Below are 17,844 nucleotides of genomic sequence, written 5' to 3'. Positions count from 1 at the left end.
CCATTCCTACTATAGGAACTTAGGTAAGATTGACCCTATTCATGGGGAGAACAGAGTGTTTACAATAGTGTTGTCAGTACTAGGGAAGACACCATGATCCAAACCTTCATTTCCCTTACCTGCCACCGGAATGAAATTCGGTAACCAGGGACGCAGTGTTTTAGATACAGCAGTGCCATTGGATGCTGTTATCCATTATCTTCCTAGCAAATTTGACTTGTCACAGCACTGCTGGTTGAGAACACATAGAGACCCAAGGGATGAGTTACCCAGGGTAATGAAGTTCAGATAATTCTGAAAGGAAAGAAATCCAAAGATAGGCACTGTTTGTGCAGGGCAGAAACAGCCAGGGTGCCGTGCAGTGTGGTTCCATGTACAAGACAAGAGCCTGAGACAAGAAGGACCCATGAGAAGAAGGTGGAATGTTATGCCTTCCAGTGAAACAAATCTTCAGTCAAACCTGCTGTTGAGCTTTTAGTTGATGACAAGTCAGTTTATATGAAAATGAGTTGTTTGCCTAATTGTGTGGGCAACATGTTAGCATAACCTGACAGTGTCTCTGAACCTCTGAGGGATCTGCTTAGTGCAAACCAGCAGTTCACACACAGCTAATAATATTTAAAATATAATATCTGGTACCAGCTGCCATCTGTCAGTTAAACTTCAGAACACACATACCATAGGGATGAAGATAAGAAAGGAATGATTGTGACTCTGGATCAAAATGCTCCCAGTTCCTGAAGGTGCATGATTTAACTGTGAATGCCAACTGAGATCCTAACATCCTATACAACCAAAGATGAACTAGTCTCTGAACTGGTAACTCATAAAAGACAAATCCCACAGTACATAGGTAAACATGCAGATCCAATCCAGTTATGTACTATATCAGGATTTGGTTTGTTAAATGTCATGCTATAGAATTGTCTCTTTTATGGAATCATTCATATATAATGAATAAAGGAGTTAGTTTTTAAATCAATCATGGAATACCATGACATGGTAGTTCCCACTTATGATTCAGAAACACCCAACCATTTGAAAAGATGTTCCAGGAGATTTGCCTTTTTAATAATGGCACCACTTTCGATTTTTATATCAATAAATAATATAATTATTTTGGCATTTTTTAATATTGTAGCTTAGGAGGTCTGACTGTGTATTGTGTATGGGCAATAGTCAATAGTGATCAGGAAAGAGAGCTTTATAACTCATTCACAGCTCAAACTGTTTATTGCTTTTCTCAGCCTATTAGCCCTCGATGGTTTTAAACGTTATGACTGTTAGTCATAAAGCATGAGTAAATACAGGAAAGCAAGTGGAATTATGATGTTCAAATATAGTTAATGAATAAAGTGGAAAAATGCTAACTATGAACATCTATACACATTTCTATTCACCAAGGTTGTAGTTTTTATTTCTCTGCCAAAAAGAAATCCTTATATAGCACATCTGGAATTTCAAAATAAAATGCTGGATAAAAAACAATTACAGCAATAATGAAAAACATTGATTTCTTATTAGCAATAAAGACTATCTGTTCCTGTACCAATTAGTTACTAAGAATTACCTACCAATGTCATCTTGAAATCTTGAAAGGCCTTTATCTTAACATTTGAAAGGAAAATTATATGTATGTAAGTATGTATGTATGTGTGTGTGTTTATGTGTTCTCTTAACATTTGAAAGGAAGATTGTATGAGTACGTACATATATAAACACACGTATCTATCTATCTGTCTATCTATATATCAATTGGATTTTCAAAGTGTAAAATGCAAACAATTTAAAGAAGAAACACGAAATTATTTCCCCCAATTTTGATCTTTTAACACATTGTTAAATTTCAATATATATTTACATGTACTTTCACCCTAAATTCAAATAAACTATTATATGTCATTTGTAAAAAATATAATCTCAAATCACATTTTATATTACAAAATGTATTTAAAGAATATGTATTACTCGTTAATTTAAAAATCTACATATTATCTCTATCACTAAGCAGTTATTAAAATGAGATTTATAATACAACAGTTTGCTAACTATAAAAATAAAATGTTTACTTAAAATTACATCACGTACCACACAAAAATAACAAACTAATTTTTTAGATTCTTTAGATTATTTTCATTATTATATGTTAGTAGTAGAGGAATTTCCAACTCAGATCATTTGGAAACACCATCACAGATTATGTATATAGAGAAAAAAATAAAATATTTCATGGAGTAATAGTTGCCCTAAATGACAATGAAAACATTTTCTATTAACACCAATTCACTCGAGGAGCATTTACTGATTCTATTAGGGTGCACTAAAATATTTGAAGAAGAATAAATAATACATGATCAACCATTCAACATTCACAAAACATCTATTTTTGTGATAATCATTCTGTTGGGCTCTGAAGGTATAATATTGAAAAAGGTGGACAACATGCTCACTTTCATTAGATGTATAATTCAGCAAGAGAGACAAATCAACAAAAAATTAAAAATTGTGAAGAAAGCTATGAAAGAAACTAAATTCATAATAATATAAATATAGTTTCTTAATGTTCTGCATTAGGACTGACCTTCGACATACCATGGAAGGTTTAACTATACTTATGGATAGCACACTGGTAGTTCTGATTTGGGCAATATAAATGGTAAAGGTACAGATAATGAAGGTTGTAAAATGAAAGAGAGAGGAGAGGTGAGACGAAATGAAGACAGCTAATTTTTCATTCAACAAAATCATGGTTCAGAGACATTTGTAGCTACACTGCCCAATGCAGCTACTATTAGCCACATGTGGCTACTTAAATTTAAATTAATTAAAATTAAGTACAATTTCAAATTCTATTTTTCCTAAGTCACACTAGCCAGATTCCAAGTGCTAAATATTCACCTGGAGGTAGGAGCTACCATATTGAAAAGAGGGGATACGCACATTTCCATTATTACAGAGAGTTCTACTGGACAGTGCTGGCCTACAGTGAACAGATAAAGCAGCAAGGATTGAAGAATGCCGTTTGGTGGAAGTGGGATTAGTGATGTAACTGGAATGACAGAAGAGGAGACAGGAAGGTGGCTCAACCATCAGTCAAGGCAAAATGTCAATAGAGAAATGATAATGCTCAGTTGAATTATGTTTTTATAAAGCACTATATTTAGAGTCATTGAAATAACCACCATAAGCATTAAAGATAGAAATTGTTTCTGTAGAGAAGTCTTTAGGGGAGAGGTGCAGTGGGGCTAGGGAATACTGCCTTTCATTGTATATCTCTCATTACCGTTTCATTTTTAATCATCTGCATATATCACTGCATTTAAATACATTTTTGAATTTTTGTAAAAAAATTTAAAAATATTTGAGAAAATAAATTGACTTAAGTAGGCAGACTATTTCTGGGGATTTTGTAGTAGTTCATGGGAGAAATAATGGTTTTTCTCTACAGTCAGTAGACAGCCAAATGATCAGTTCAAACAAAGTAGGTGGGAGGACAGTAATGAAAGGGGAGAAAGAATAGGAACAGGATTTTTATGGAGCAAAGGGCTTTGATGTAGCCACAGGTTGATAAATAAATTAAATTCAAGGTATTGTCCTACTTGTGTCTAACAATGATTTGAGGAAAAGATGTGTGGTCTTTCTCAGGGCCTTAATTTCAGCCCAAGGAATAGAAAGCTGTTCAGGGGAAGTCCTCGTCTGACCCATACCCTACCCCTGGTGCACACACTTACCCAGCTAAGGAGTAGGACATGACAGACACAGCTGGAGAGTGTGCAACCTCACCAGAGAGTTCTTAGAAAGGACAAGTTAAACAGTCCCATTTGTATGCTAGAGGAATAAACAGTGATGTTCCTATGCAGTGTTCCAGTTTCTTCAAAGACATGCAATTAGGAACAAGCAGTAAATATTACATTATCATGTTAAGTTCCATTTGGCAGGCTCCAGAGATAATAGGGTCCCCCAGAGTACAGGTACGAATGGAACTCAATGTCCTAGAGAAAAATATTAAATGCACAAGTTATCAGATCACTTTTATGGCCAGCTTCATACTTACTGCTCTACTTGTTTCCTACTGGCTGTGTTTCCCTTTCCTGCTTATTCTTTGTAATTTCCTCAAAACAATATTTAGATAGGTGAGGAAGGTAGCGTGTAGCCTTTAAGGAAGGCAGGGGAATAAAGCAATTAATGAAATGCTAGATTTTTTTTTTCAGAAAAATTAAACATTATGAACTCGTAGCCAAATTTTCTACAGTAAATTAGAAACATAATGCATCTCCTCCACTCGAAACACACAATAATAATATATAAATAGCCAACAAAAACAATATAAATAAACTGAGAAACAAGAGAGGACTCTGGGGACCAGAAACAGAACTGAAACCTAAAATCCATGTGTAAGGCTGAAGTCTCAGATGTGCTGGGCTCTGAGTCTGCAGTGAGTGATGATAGTAGGACCTTAGCTCCTGCAGGATACACAAGATTAAAACTGCTTCATGCAGGTCAGGGAAACACTACCCTTGAAGGTGCTTGAAGTCATTCTGTACTCAGAAGATGGAAGTAATACTAGACCAGCATGAGTCTGCAGCTTTGAGCAAGCTACAGGCCTATCATTGCTGGAAGACAAGAGCAGAGCGTAACAAACCAGACAGTGATTAGTAAATGGGACACCGAATCCCACTGCTTAGTGACTGGATCTGTGATATCATCATAATCCACACAATGGAGATGGTCTCACAACGGCCCCAAAATGCCATTATGGCAAACCCACATAATGAGTGGAAATAACTGCACAATCTCTAACCAGGGATAGTAATATCCTCAATACTAACTTATTGTCTTTATCTAGTCTAGAGTTTAACTAGAAGGCAGAAAGTAAAAAGACACATACAAAATGTCCTCCCCAAATTACACAAACAGCAAAATTCCAAAATACATTAAAACATCTAATGTTAAGAAAAACAAACAAATGTAACCATAAGAATATTTCATTTCGGGTGAAATTAATTTTGTGTAGCAGTTTGACAAAGACTTTAACACACAGAGTACTCTGAGAATTAGGTGAAAGAAATATTTTAAGATGATCAAAAGTTTATGAATCAAACAGAGAAATTTAAGAAGAAGAGATGAATATAGGAAGATCTAATTAGAAATCGGGATGAAATAGTATGAAATAGTATATAGTTATTGACTTAAAAGTACTTGATAAGTTGGTTAAACTCTACGTTGCATACATAAGAGTAAGTTATATTGAAGACATCACTAACAGTGAAGATGAGGAAACAAAAAGATGAAGAATAGGAAGAAGGAATAAAGAGGAAACAAGGGTGGATGAAGAGGCTACAGCATACATCTAATAGGAATTCCAGAAGAAAATAATAAAATAAACGGAGGGAAGTAACACCCAAAGAGATAGTAGCTTCAATTTTTCTATAATTAAAGAGAATTAAAAAATGTTAACCTTCATAGCAAAAGTACACGTTAAGTACCAATATCAATAAAAATAAATCCACATCAAGGTACATTCTTGTGAAACTATAGGAAAGCAGTGGCAGGGAGAATTCTTTAAAAGTTGCCAGACAGGAAAAGACAGATTACTAATAAAGGGATAACCTTCACACATGAGACAGGTTTTTTACTGGCAATGATAGATGCCAAAATACAGTAAGATAATAGCTCCAAAGTGCAGAAGAAAAATAACTGGCAATGTAGAATTGTATATACAAATGAACTATCATTAAAGAGCAAAGGCTAAATAATGGCATAAAATAAAAACATACTATGTATACAAATGCTGGGTCCATCCTGCAGACTCTGGTCGAGTGATGGATGAAAGGAGTACGCAGACACAGGTATTTTACCTGACAGTGTGGCTAGGGGACTGCACCACTTAGCACCACTGATGAGAGTGCAGCCACAATAAGCCTGAGCCGTTATTTATTTATTTAGTACAGATTTAATGACAAAGGCTTGGAGCAAACACAATTTGTGGGCAATTAACATTGTCGACCCCCTGAGTAGACAGCAGTCCTGCATGCGAATGATCAAAGGTTGGTTTCCGGAGACATAACTAAATCAATTTATTTAGATAAGTTTCTTTACATTCCCTTGTTATCTACCCTTTGCCCTTAAGAGAATTTAACTGCCTTCAGCTAAATTCTCTTTCCAAGCTTTTGCAAAACCTCCCAGCCTTCCAAGAAGGTTTTTGTCTTTCCCTATAATTTTTCCCACCACCCTGACCAATCTCCTACATACAAACACAATAACTTACCATCCATAGCCCTCACTAAAAGTACTATTAAAAGATAAAGTTAAGCCAGAAGGAATGTGAAACCAGGGAAACCACATGATAAAAAACAATAGGCAGAAATTGATAAAACAAGTAATTCTAATTAACACACTGTTGCTAAAAAGTAAATTTTTGTAATATGAAGAGAAAAGCTAAAATGTGTTGCTGCAGGGAGGGACATTTAGTTTTAAATATGTAGTTTTAGTATGTAAAGCTCTCTATTGTGATTAGTAGAAAAAGACAAAGGCTGATTAATTGTAGGCCTTGTTGCACAAATTTATATTGAAGCAAATCTGTTTAAATATTTAAAAGTAACTACTAAAATAATGGAAAACAATTTCATTGCATTGAAAACAATTTCAAATTGCACTGAGAAAATGCTGCTACTTTTCACCTGTTGGTTTGGAGGCAATGGAATTTTTATCTATTATTTTAGCGATTGGAAATATACACAATGTAAATAAGTGAACAACATGCAAAATGGAGACAAAAGAGGCAAATAAAAAAGGCATCTAAAAGTGTAATATGATGGGATAAATAATTGCAAATATATTAAAAATCCAATAAATAAAAGTGGGTAAATCTCAATATTATAAGAAAATAAAAGATCAGATTGAATTTCCAGCTACATTCTGTTTACAAAACAACATAGAAAGAGCAAAATAAATACATAAATTAAAAAAACATGGTCTCATGAACAGCCCACAGTGAGTGTTTCATCAGTGGCAGCACTTCTTTCAATGGTGATTCAGGAACCTAAGCTTTTTTTTATCTTGAGTCTCCTTCATCTTCAATACATTACTCCCAATTTCATTTTGCTTTGGTTCACCAAGTGAGTAGGAAAGAAAGAATGGATAATTGGGCATTAGAATATTTTTGTGTGTGGACCTGGAAGTCTCATGCATTACTGTCAGTCACATTCCATTGGCTAGAACTCACTTAAGAGCCCTAAGTCAATGACATTAGAAAGGAAGCTATTAAGAAAGGTAGCCTACTGGATGCCTAGCAAATAGAGGAAAGGGAAACACTCTGTTTTTCTATTCTCAATATTTCACATCTGACACCCAAGTGTCTGGGTTTTTCTCTCCCATTAAGCAATTCCTCAATTCTCTGTCATACCAACTGGGTGTCCTACAATCTAATTCAATTCATTCTAACGCTGTCCACCTGGAGTTAGCATCAGCTCCATCACAAGTTAGAAAGCTCAGTCCCACACAGCTGCCCACCGCTTCAGATGCCAGTTGTAAGTCCTAGGTTGTAACCTGTATTTTTGACCAACTGGCTATAAATCAGGGCTTCCTACAACCCCCTCCTTGGGTTTGGTAATTTGCTAGATTGTCTCACAAAAGTTAGGGAAGTTACTTTACTTGCATTTACCTTTCTAAGGCTTCCTTTCTAATGTTTTATTATAAAAGATAAAACTCAAGAACAGCCAGATGGAAGAGATGCCTAGGGCAAAGTATTGGCAAGGGGGTTACATGCCCTCTCTGGGGTGCCACACTTCCAGCAACCTGGAACCCCTTCCATTAGGGTTTTTACTGTAGGCTTCATGACATAGGAATGATTTGTTAAATCATTGGCCAATGGTGATTAACTCGGCCTCCAGTTTCTCTCTTCCCTGGAGGTCCGGGGGTGGGGCTGAAAGTTGCAGCCCTCTGATCGCATGGGTGATGTTACACTGGCAACCAGCCCCTCATCCTTAGGAGCTTTCTAAAAGTTACTTCACTAATATAAACTCAGATGTGGTTGAAAGGAACTTGTTATGAGTAACAAAAGATGCTCCTGTCACCGTTATAGCTCCAAAGCTATTTCAGGAGCTGAAGAGTTTGTTATGATTATTGTGGGAATGGTTGACTAAGCCAAAAATTGGTAAAAGAGGTAGGGCATAAGCATTGGGAACTGGTAGTTAGAAAACTGCTATATGATGCTGATAAATGGCAACCTGTGTTACAGAGTGGAAAATATTTAATGAAAGTATTGTTTGCTATTAACATAATGAACTTCAAGGTTTTAAGGCAGAATATTGCAGTGGTAAGCTGACTGCTGCCAGCTGCCTTTAACGAGATATTAGAAGAGAGCTGAAAATTAATTGGCTGAGGTGCAAACTGAATTTATGAAGGATTGAGTGACTCAAAAAAGCACTTGAAATGTTGGAATGGGAAACAATTTTCAAGTCAATGGTGTGACCATTATGACATAGACTCAAGGAAAAGACCAAACCCAGGACACTATCAGTAAGACATGGCCTCAAGGTAAAGGACATACTAAGATTTTGGCTACTAAAATCCCTTGTGATGACTTCTGAAAAAAGTTCTGCTCTGCCAAAGTGTTCCTAGAAAGATTAAGGGTATGTCCCACAGAAGCTTGATATGCCCAAACTCTCTGTAATTAGGTCTCAAGAGAAGGTGCAAGTCTAAATAGTATTGTGGATGTAGCTTTTAGCCCATGGGATTGAAGAGAATAAAACAAAATAGTATGAGATATTTATCCTGACAAAAGTGTCATCCTTCAGCCTGAGTAAAAGGAGACTAATAGTAACTAAGATGAAAAAAAAAAAAGTACTCCTAGACCTCAACTTTCTGCAGGCAGGAAGTAGACTGATAAAACTGCTAAGTTGCTAAGAATGAAATATACTCAATGCCTTCTTCAGAAGTGATTTAAAAAGATGGAAAAAAAAGAGAGGGCACAACCAAGCACCACAGGGAAAATATGGGCTGGAGAGCCATTCCAGTTTCAAACTAGAACCTAGTGAAGATATATTCCCTAGCCTCAAAAAAAAAAAAAAAAAAAAAAAAAAGTACTTGGCCATATTTGTTCAGTAGTATTCAAAATCGCTATAAGCCAGTGGCTGCTATGTGTTATTTTCTTTTTGTGAATGGGAGAGTTCATTGCAGTTATTCTTCCCATGTTTCATCATTGCTGGGTGTGTGGGAGGCAGATAACTTGTCTTTTTAGTTCTGGAGTTGCATCCAGACCCAACATCGATAATTAGGTTCTTGCTTTAGAGCCTAATGCTTTGAATGAGTCTTTTGCGGGTATAATAGAAAGGGATTGAGTGAACTTTGTATAAAATGTTATTGTAACTAAGAGCATAGCCTGTGGTAAATTTCATTATTGGTCCCAATATTTCACCCCTCCCTGCAACCACACCCATTGCTAATAGGACACTGCAGTTCTTCCTACTAGAGGCAGCACATATTTCCCTATTCCACTGATTCTGAGCTCGTCCATGTGTCCTGTTTTGGCCATTAGAATGTCAGCAGATGTCACATAATCAAGACTTGAAGTGTTCTAATGAGTTTGGACTTGCTCGCTTTCATTTATGCCTTTGTCCTGGGTAGCCTACTGCTGCCAGAATTATGGCAAATGTGTGAAGCCAACTTCACACAAAGTCTGTATCCAAACTCAGCTGAGCACAGCCAACATCAGCCAAGCTCTAGTCAAACCAAAGGTGTTTAAAATATAAATAATTCTTTTTCGTTACAACTCACTGATGTTGTGGATTGTCTTAAGCAATATTACTGTGACAATACTTCATTAAAAGACTTTATTTTTTCCTACACAGAAAAATTAATGCTAGACAGTTTATTTTTATTTCAACAGTTTTTGGGGAACAGGTGGTTTTTAGTTCCATGGATAAGTTCTTTAGTGGTGATTTCTGAGATGTTGGTGCACCTGTCACCCAAGCAGTATACACTATAACCAATGTGTAGTCTTTTATTCCTCACCCCTCTCCCACCCTTCCCCCTGAGTACCCGAAGTCCATTGTATCATTCTTAGGCCTTTGCATCCTCATAGCTTAGCTCCCACTTGCAAGTAAAAACATAAAATATTTGGTTTTCCATCCCTGAGTTACTTTCCTTAGAAAAATGGTCTCCAACTCCATCTAGATTGCTGCAGATGCCATTATTTCATTCCCTTTTATGCTGAGTAGTATTCAATGGTGTATAGATACCACATTTTCTTTATCCACTCATTGGTTGATGGGCATTCAGGTTGGTTCCATAGTTTTGCAATTGTGAAATGTGCTGCTATAAACATGCGTGTGCAAGTGTTTTTTTCATATAATGACTTCTTTCCCTTAGGTAGATACTCAGTAGTGGGATTGCTGGATCCAATGGTAGTTCTACTTTTAGTTGTTTAAGGAACTCCATACTGTTTTCCATAATGGCTGTACTAGTTTACATTCCCACCAGCGCATAAAAGTGTTCCCTTTTCATCACATCCATGCCAACATCTATTACTTTTTAATTTTTAAATTATGACCATTCTTGCAGGAGTAAGGTGGTATCTCATTGTGGTTTTAATTTGCATTTCCCTGATAATTACTGATGTTGGGCACATTTTCATATGTTTGTTGGCCATTTGTATATCTTCTTTTGAGAATTGTCTATTCATGTCCTTTGCCCACTTTTTGATGGGGTTGTTTTTTTTTTCTTGCTGATTTGAGTTTCTGGTAGATTCTGGATATTAGTCCTTCGTCAGGTTCATAATTTGTTAATATTTTCTCCCACTCTGTGGTTTGTCTGTTTACTCTGCTGATTATTTCTGTTGCTCTGCAGAAGGTAGACAGTTTAAAGATGTAAATATGGAACAAAAATTTTTAATATATATGAATAAAAATAGAGAAAAACATTTTTAAGAATTTCTGAAATAAACCAAAAGCACAAAGCATAAAAATGATTAATTTTCCTACATTTAACTTTAACACTTTAACAAAAGACATCGAATATTAAGATAAATTATGAAGGCCAGATTGAAATATTTACTTATATTTACCAAAATATTATGCAGAATATATAGAACTAACACAATAAGAAAAAGAGAGCTAGACAACTAGAAACTAAGGCTAAACAAACTATAGCTAAACAAACTAGAAAAATTGTTGAAGGATATGAACAGGCCATTTACCAAAGAAAAAACTCAAATGACCGATAATCACATGGAAAAATAAAAAAAATCTCACTAGTAATCAAGGAAATATGAAATAAAATGATGAGATAGTATGATATTTTAGACTTTCAGAATGGCAAAATTTTTAAAAAGACAATACTAAATCTTGATGAGAACATGGTTAATTATGGTGGGATTTTTAAATGGGCACAACCGCTTTGGAGAATATTTGGCATTGTATAGTGAGAACTAAATCCAACCTGATTCCCTCTTTTCTGTCCTTGTGTCAGACAAGTCTGAGATAAGACATACTTTTCTGCCTCTTTGTGAAACAATACTTAGCTACTTGCTCTGGGAAATATTTGCTCCTGGAAGATAAAGTTGTGAGGCTACAAAAATAGCTTACTTATCAAGACTAGTAGCTTGCTCATCAAGGCTTGCTTCAAGAGCCTCACCTCACTGTGCCCACCAATCCAAAGCTTTTATGTCATAAAGGCTACTTAATTCCCTGACATAGAAATTCTATCTTAAAATCACCTAACCCAGGTCATAAAACTCTATAAATAGCTTCTTCTTAATTCACTGTCTTGAGGCACTATTAAGACTTGGCCATGAGAACGTTCTTTCTTATTGCAATGGGCCTAGTAAACTGAGATTTGTTTATCAACAGTAGTTTTTGTTTTTGTCTTCGCTTTGGGGGTAGTGTTTTTGTTTTCTTTTCTGGGGATATTTGGGGAAGCAATAGAAGTAAAGGAGAAGATCCATACACTATTTGATTCAGGAATTCATCTTTGAGTATGAAACCTAAAGCAATATAACTCAAACAATCAGTTTAGACTCATTAGTGAAATGGGAAATTAGTTTGATGAGTCACAACCTACATCTTATTTTTAGAATAAGATAGAATGAACAAGAATGAAATGAAAACAGTAAATGAATAGAAAATAGTAAAAATAGCAAAACAGTAAGAAGTTGTTTTATAAATGTTTGGTTTCAGTATATGTCTAAGTGTGTGTATGTGCATGAGTACACATGTATATTAAGCCACTGCGTTAAAAACTTTTACATATGTACACAAGAAAACCTGTATATATTCAATGCAGAAGATCTATAATAATAAACAACTAGAAAAACCCCAATGTTCGTCAAACAGAATAGATAATACATATTTATGCAGTGAATACTATAGAGCAGCTAAAATGAATAAACTGCAGTTATGTAAAGAAAAAATAGATGAATCTCAAAAACATACGGCATGAAAAAGGAAATTATACAATGATACATATACATATTTATAAATAAGGAAAACTACACTAAATATTTGTTGGGAATTCTATAAGCTAGAACAATATGATGCAAACATATGGAAGCTACAATAACACACAAAATCAGGGCAGTAGTTTTCTCTGCAGAAGGTGGAAATGAGAATGAGAAAGCAAGGGACAAGTTGGAGCAGTGAGAGGAGGGAGAAAAGGAAGAAGGGGAAAGATCAAGGAGGGACAAACAGGGGCTTCAAGTGTCTTGGTATTTTGATTTCCTTAAAAAATCTGAGGCAATAATGGCAAGATGTTAAAACATAATGAAACATAAGGTGGGAATAGCAAACACAATAACTGTTGTCTATAGCCTAGGCACTGTTCCAAGCCCTTTACACATTTCATTTGCAAAGTTATTCATTAAATATTTTCCCTTTACTTTTCTGTACATTTGAACCACTTCACAATTTAAAAAATAAAAGCAGGGGCAAAATGATAACATATTAAATGTAAATGGTGGATATATCGACGTTCGTTGTAATTTTCTGTATGGCTAAAATCTTTCATTACAAAGACACATTTAAAGAAATCAGTTGTTATGACAGGACTGGTAATTAATTCTTAATCTGTGACCTTAAAATATAGGCAATGCATAAAAGTGTTTATGACGGTCTAGGCACGGATCTCTAGTATTCTCTTTCTTAGCAGAGTTCCATTAAAATATTTGCTGTTGTTTTGTAAAGGATCTGACTGGTCATCCATAGAGATTACAGGGTGTGGCTCTTTTCTGTAGAAGCACAGAAAGTTGCATCAATGCCATACTGGTCTTAGCCCTGTGCCATCTAGGATTAATTAAGTGTCTCCATTTTCCCCCCCTTCTCCTCCAAATAACTGAAAGGCATATTCAGAAATGATGACAGAAAAGGGCCAAAGTTCCCACACCCTGCTTGAGAAAAAGGCTGGATCTGAAGAAAACAGAAATCAATAACATCACACTGGGTGGGCTGTGGGAAAGAAAAGAATGATCTAGTGTGAAGCTTCATTTGAACAGCCTTTTTTGTGGCCTTTATGTCTGGAATTTCTTCACCAATCTAAGGCTGAGATCTCAACTGGTTTTATTATGAGATGAAAACAGTCAACATCAAAATCGTTCATAAACTTCAGATGAGTTATAACTCAATCACCAGCTCTCTGAGTGGGATGTGCAGCTTCTCTTTGAGTTGGTTGTTTGTGTTGGCTTTCCAGGTGGCTTGGCTCCGCCAAAGATGATCCTCCAGTTGGACCATTATTTCACAGCATTGACCAGTTGTTTGATAAAACTGGCTGAACTAACCTCTTGTTTTGATATCACATAAATACCGCCCAGCTCCCTTCCCAGCTCTGTGCCTTCTCTCCTGGAAGAACTTGGCTACCAGCCCAGTTTTAGATACAAAACTGAAGATACGGATCCAACTCTTTCAGATTCAAATCAACACCACATCCTTCTGTGTCTTTCTCTTAAATGAGTAAGAATTTTCTTTAAAACAAATGAAAATAATAAGTTTTTGGACATAGTTTTGAAGCGTATACTTGAAAGTATAATGTAGAACTGAAGTCAATATAAATCGGAAATATCATCAACATATATTGTTAATGATAAAAGTAACAATACTCATAGTTATACAAAAGAGCATCGTACTGGTTATGGTATGCCATATCTTCTTCCAAACATTTTACAAATACAAACTCATCCTTCCAACAACTCTATGAAATCGGTGATTATTACTCTCATTTTATAGCTGAGGATATTGAGGCTCAAATAAATTAAATAATTTGCCCAGGATCATAAAGTCAGTGATAGATCTTAGTGGAAACTTAGAAATTGTATGGTTCAACTCCTCCTCTTAAACATGAGGGAGCTGGCAGTACTAACAGGCTGCATTGTTAATATGAGGAAGTCCACTTGCTTCCAGGGATATTACACTTTTCTCTTGGGAGAGAAAGAAGGATACTTGCCTAGCTCCCCAACCCAGTTATATCAACACTGGGTTCACACCCTTGCCTCCCAGTAAGAACATTTAGGACCAGAGAGGCTGAATAACTTGCTCATGGTCAGGCACTTAGTAAATAGCAGGGCTAAGACATAACAGCTCAAGTCTCTAGAGTATTGACCTGGTTCTCTTGACTGTGAATTTAGCTTTCTCTATCAATTCTTTTTTTCTCAGAATGATTTTAATTTGCTTTATTCTCCATATTTTAAAATTTTTATTAGAAATGGGTTTGTCTTCCCATTCAGCCTCTAGGGTAAATTCTTTTCAGAACTCCAATTCAAATAAGGTTTCATTGATCATTTCACCATAAAGAACTCATCAAAACAAACCTCTAATTTGATTGGGGGTTGGAGATTTCTCACCGATTTGGGAGTCTTCTTGCTTTTTTGTTTAGTTTTGGGCAACATTCATTAGTTGCCTTTCCCCAGACCTTGTAATGAATGGCATACTGAAACCTGGGTGATGCAAGCCCTTTGACCTTTCCTATGGGTGTATGACAACATATCCCTTGACTCCTCTTATTCATTTGTCCCCTTTACAACAGACCTTGGCTTGAAAAGGTAGCTGGAAAAGATCCAGAGATTGTCCCTTTAAGAATTTGTATTGTGCTGATAAATATTAAACAACAGAAAACAGATACCAAAACTACTCAAGACACTCTCCACACTGTCCCCTCCCCTCAAGAATTTACTTGAAAATTGCAACAACAAAAAATCAGCTAACTTCTCCCCTCCCTCCAACTAATATTTGGGCACAACAGTGGTCACATCTTATCCTAAGGTGTTTCTTTTTAAGAGATCTTTTCTAAAAAGTCCACATGTTTAGGAAAATTGATATACCAAACTAGACAGAAAATAGAAGAACCAAGACATTTGATCATGAGAACAGGTTTACTCAGAGTCAGCCAAATATCAAAGGAATACAACCTGGCATTACTTGAATTTTTTCAACCCAATGTTAATGTAAACATAAAAGTTGGGGCATTGTCCAAAATGTAATGATGCTAGTATTTCTCTAATAGCATAAATATGTACTGAATGGCACTTTGGGAAAAATCTTCTGGCTCTTCTGGAAAGTTCAAAGTTTCCTAAGTAATGAGAGAGGTGAATATAGCATCTATTCAATTTCCCTTTCACTTATTCCTCTCTCCTTTGGCATGGCCTAGAGTCCATCTGTCTGCACCATCTGCCTTGCCTTTAATTGCCAGAATTGATTTGTCTGATATGAATGCATAACTAGTAACAGGGGACTTGAAAAAGCATTGCTTTAATTGAATTCTTTACTAATAATATTATTAGGGTAGTCTGAAGAATGTATTCTGCTGAAAAAGCCATCTTGGAAAGTTGAATTTGTTGACCCTAGAAATAAGGTAGTGATTAGTAGAAAATATTTTATTGGATACCTATAATTTTCCATGATTTTTAAAGACCTTTGTGCTAGTAAAGCACAAAACCGCCACTGGCATCTCATTCAGAAAGCACACAGATCTTCAAAAAGGGTATCTGTCTAAAAGCGATGTCACTGCGAGACAAGAGAAAAAAAGTGGTCAAAAGAAAGCACTGTGCAGTGACTATGCAATTTAAATCCCAACTCCTTCAAGCAGTAGGGCATCTTGGAGCAATGTTGCTCAACTCTGGCTACACAGAATCATCAAGAGATGTTTTCAAAATACTATTGGTGACCATATGATCCTTTTCAGGTGCAGTTGCATTCATTTTGTTAGTATTTTGTTGAGGATTTTTGCATCTATATTAATCAGGGATATTAGCAGGTAGTTTTCTTTTCTTGTAGTCTTTGTCTGGCTTTGGTGTAAGGATAATGCTGGCCTCATATAATGAGTTTGGAAGTATTCCCTTCTCATTTTCAGTTTTTTGGAAGTGTTTTAGAAGGATTGGCATTAATTCTTGAAATGCTTGGTAGAATTTACTTGTGAGGCGATCTGGTACTGGGCTTTTCTTTGTTGAGAGGTATTGAATTCCTCATTCAATCTCCATACTAGTTATAGGCCTGTTCAGGCTTTCTAATTATTTATTATTTAGTTTTGGCAGTTTGTATGTTTCCAGGACTTTTTCCATTTCTTTTAGGTTATCTAGTTTTTAGTATGTAATTGTTCATAGAAATTTCATATAATCCTTTTTATTTCTGTGGCATCACTTGTAATATCTCATTCATCTATAATTCTGAGCCTTCTTTTTTTCCCTTAATTTAACTAAGGCCTTGTAAATTGTTTATCTTTTCAAAAAACCAACTCTTAATTTTGTTGATATTTTTCTGTTTTCTATTCCATTTATTTCTGCTCTAATCTTTATTGCCTTCCTTCTGCTAACTTTGAGCTTATTTGTTCTTCATTTTCTGGTTCCTAGAGGTATAAAGTTTGGTTGCTTATTTGAGATCCCTCTTCCTTTTAATGTGTGATTTATCACTGTGAACCATCTTAGTGCTGTTTCTGATGGATATCATAAATTTTATGCTGTATTTTCATTTGTCTTAAGATATTTTCTAATTTCCTCTTTTATTTCTTCTTGACTCAATGCTTGTTCAAGGGTGTATGTTTAATTTTCATTTTTTGTGAAGTTTCCAGTTTTCCTTTTGCTATTGATTTCTAGTTTCATTCTATTACAATCAGAAGAAATATTTTATATGATTGCAGTCTACTTAAATGTGCTGGGACTTGTTTTATATCTAACACGTGATGTATTCTGAGGTAAAATCCATGGGCACTTGAGAAAAATGTGTATTCTGCTATTGTTGGGTCGAATGTTTTGTACACATATGTTAGAGCCATTTGATCTGTAGTGTTGTTCAAGCCTTCTGTTAACTTACTAATATGCTGTTTGGATGTTCTATTCAGTATTAAAAGTGTTATTATTATTACCATTACTGTATTGCCGTCTATTTCTCCCTTCAGATTTGTCAATGTTTGTTTTATATATTTAAGTGCTCTGATGTTGGGTGCGTATGGATTTATAATTGTTAAATCTTCCTAGAAAATTGACCCTTTTGTTATTATATGGTATCATTATTTCTCTCTTGTGATGGTTTTTACTTATGGAGTATTTTATCTGATAAGTATAGTCATCCGTGCTCTCATTTGGTTGCTATCTGCATGAAATAGCTTTTTTCATTCCTTTATTTTCAGCTTATGTGTGTCCTTAAATCTAAAGTGAGTTTCGTGAGTTTCTTGTAGGCAGCATATAGTTAGGTCATTAAAAAAATTCATGTAGTTCCTTCATATATTTTATTGAGAAATTTAATCAATTTATATTTAAAGTAATTATTGATAGAGAAGGATTTACTATTGCCATTTCTTAGTTGTTTCATGGTAGTCCTGTAATTCCTTTGCCTTTTTCCTCTTGTGCTGTCTTCCTTTGGGTTTTGA

At 35.3% G+C, this 17,844-nt stretch overlaps 1 long non-coding RNA gene across 3 annotated transcripts in view, besides 1 other annotated feature; it reads left to right on the top strand.

Annotated features, from left to right (window-relative positions):
• Positions 1–17,844, top strand: part of LOC105370777 (uncharacterized) — a 556,255-nt gene that overhangs the window by 352,912 nt on the left and 185,499 nt on the right. The window lies entirely within an intron of this gene.
• Positions 5,683–6,235: an enhancer, noted in NCBI's record as "OCT4-NANOG hESC enhancer chr15:39354115-39354667 (GRCh37/hg19 assembly coordinates)". NCBI's record gives its function as "activates a minimal SCP1, AML or CMV promoter by ChIP-STARR-seq in naive and primed H9 embryonic stem cells {active_cell/tissue: H9 hESC(naive and primed)}" and the evidence as "EXISTENCE:reporter gene assay evidence [ECO:0000049][PMID:30033119]".

The sequence above is a fragment of the Homo sapiens genome, chromosome 15 (genome assembly GCF_000001405.40).
Source record: "Homo sapiens chromosome 15, GRCh38.p14 Primary Assembly".
Classification (NCBI taxonomy): domain Eukaryota; kingdom Metazoa; phylum Chordata; class Mammalia; order Primates; family Hominidae; genus Homo; species Homo sapiens.
Note: the sequence above shows the minus strand (reverse complement) of the source record. Positions and strands in the feature narration are given on the sequence as shown.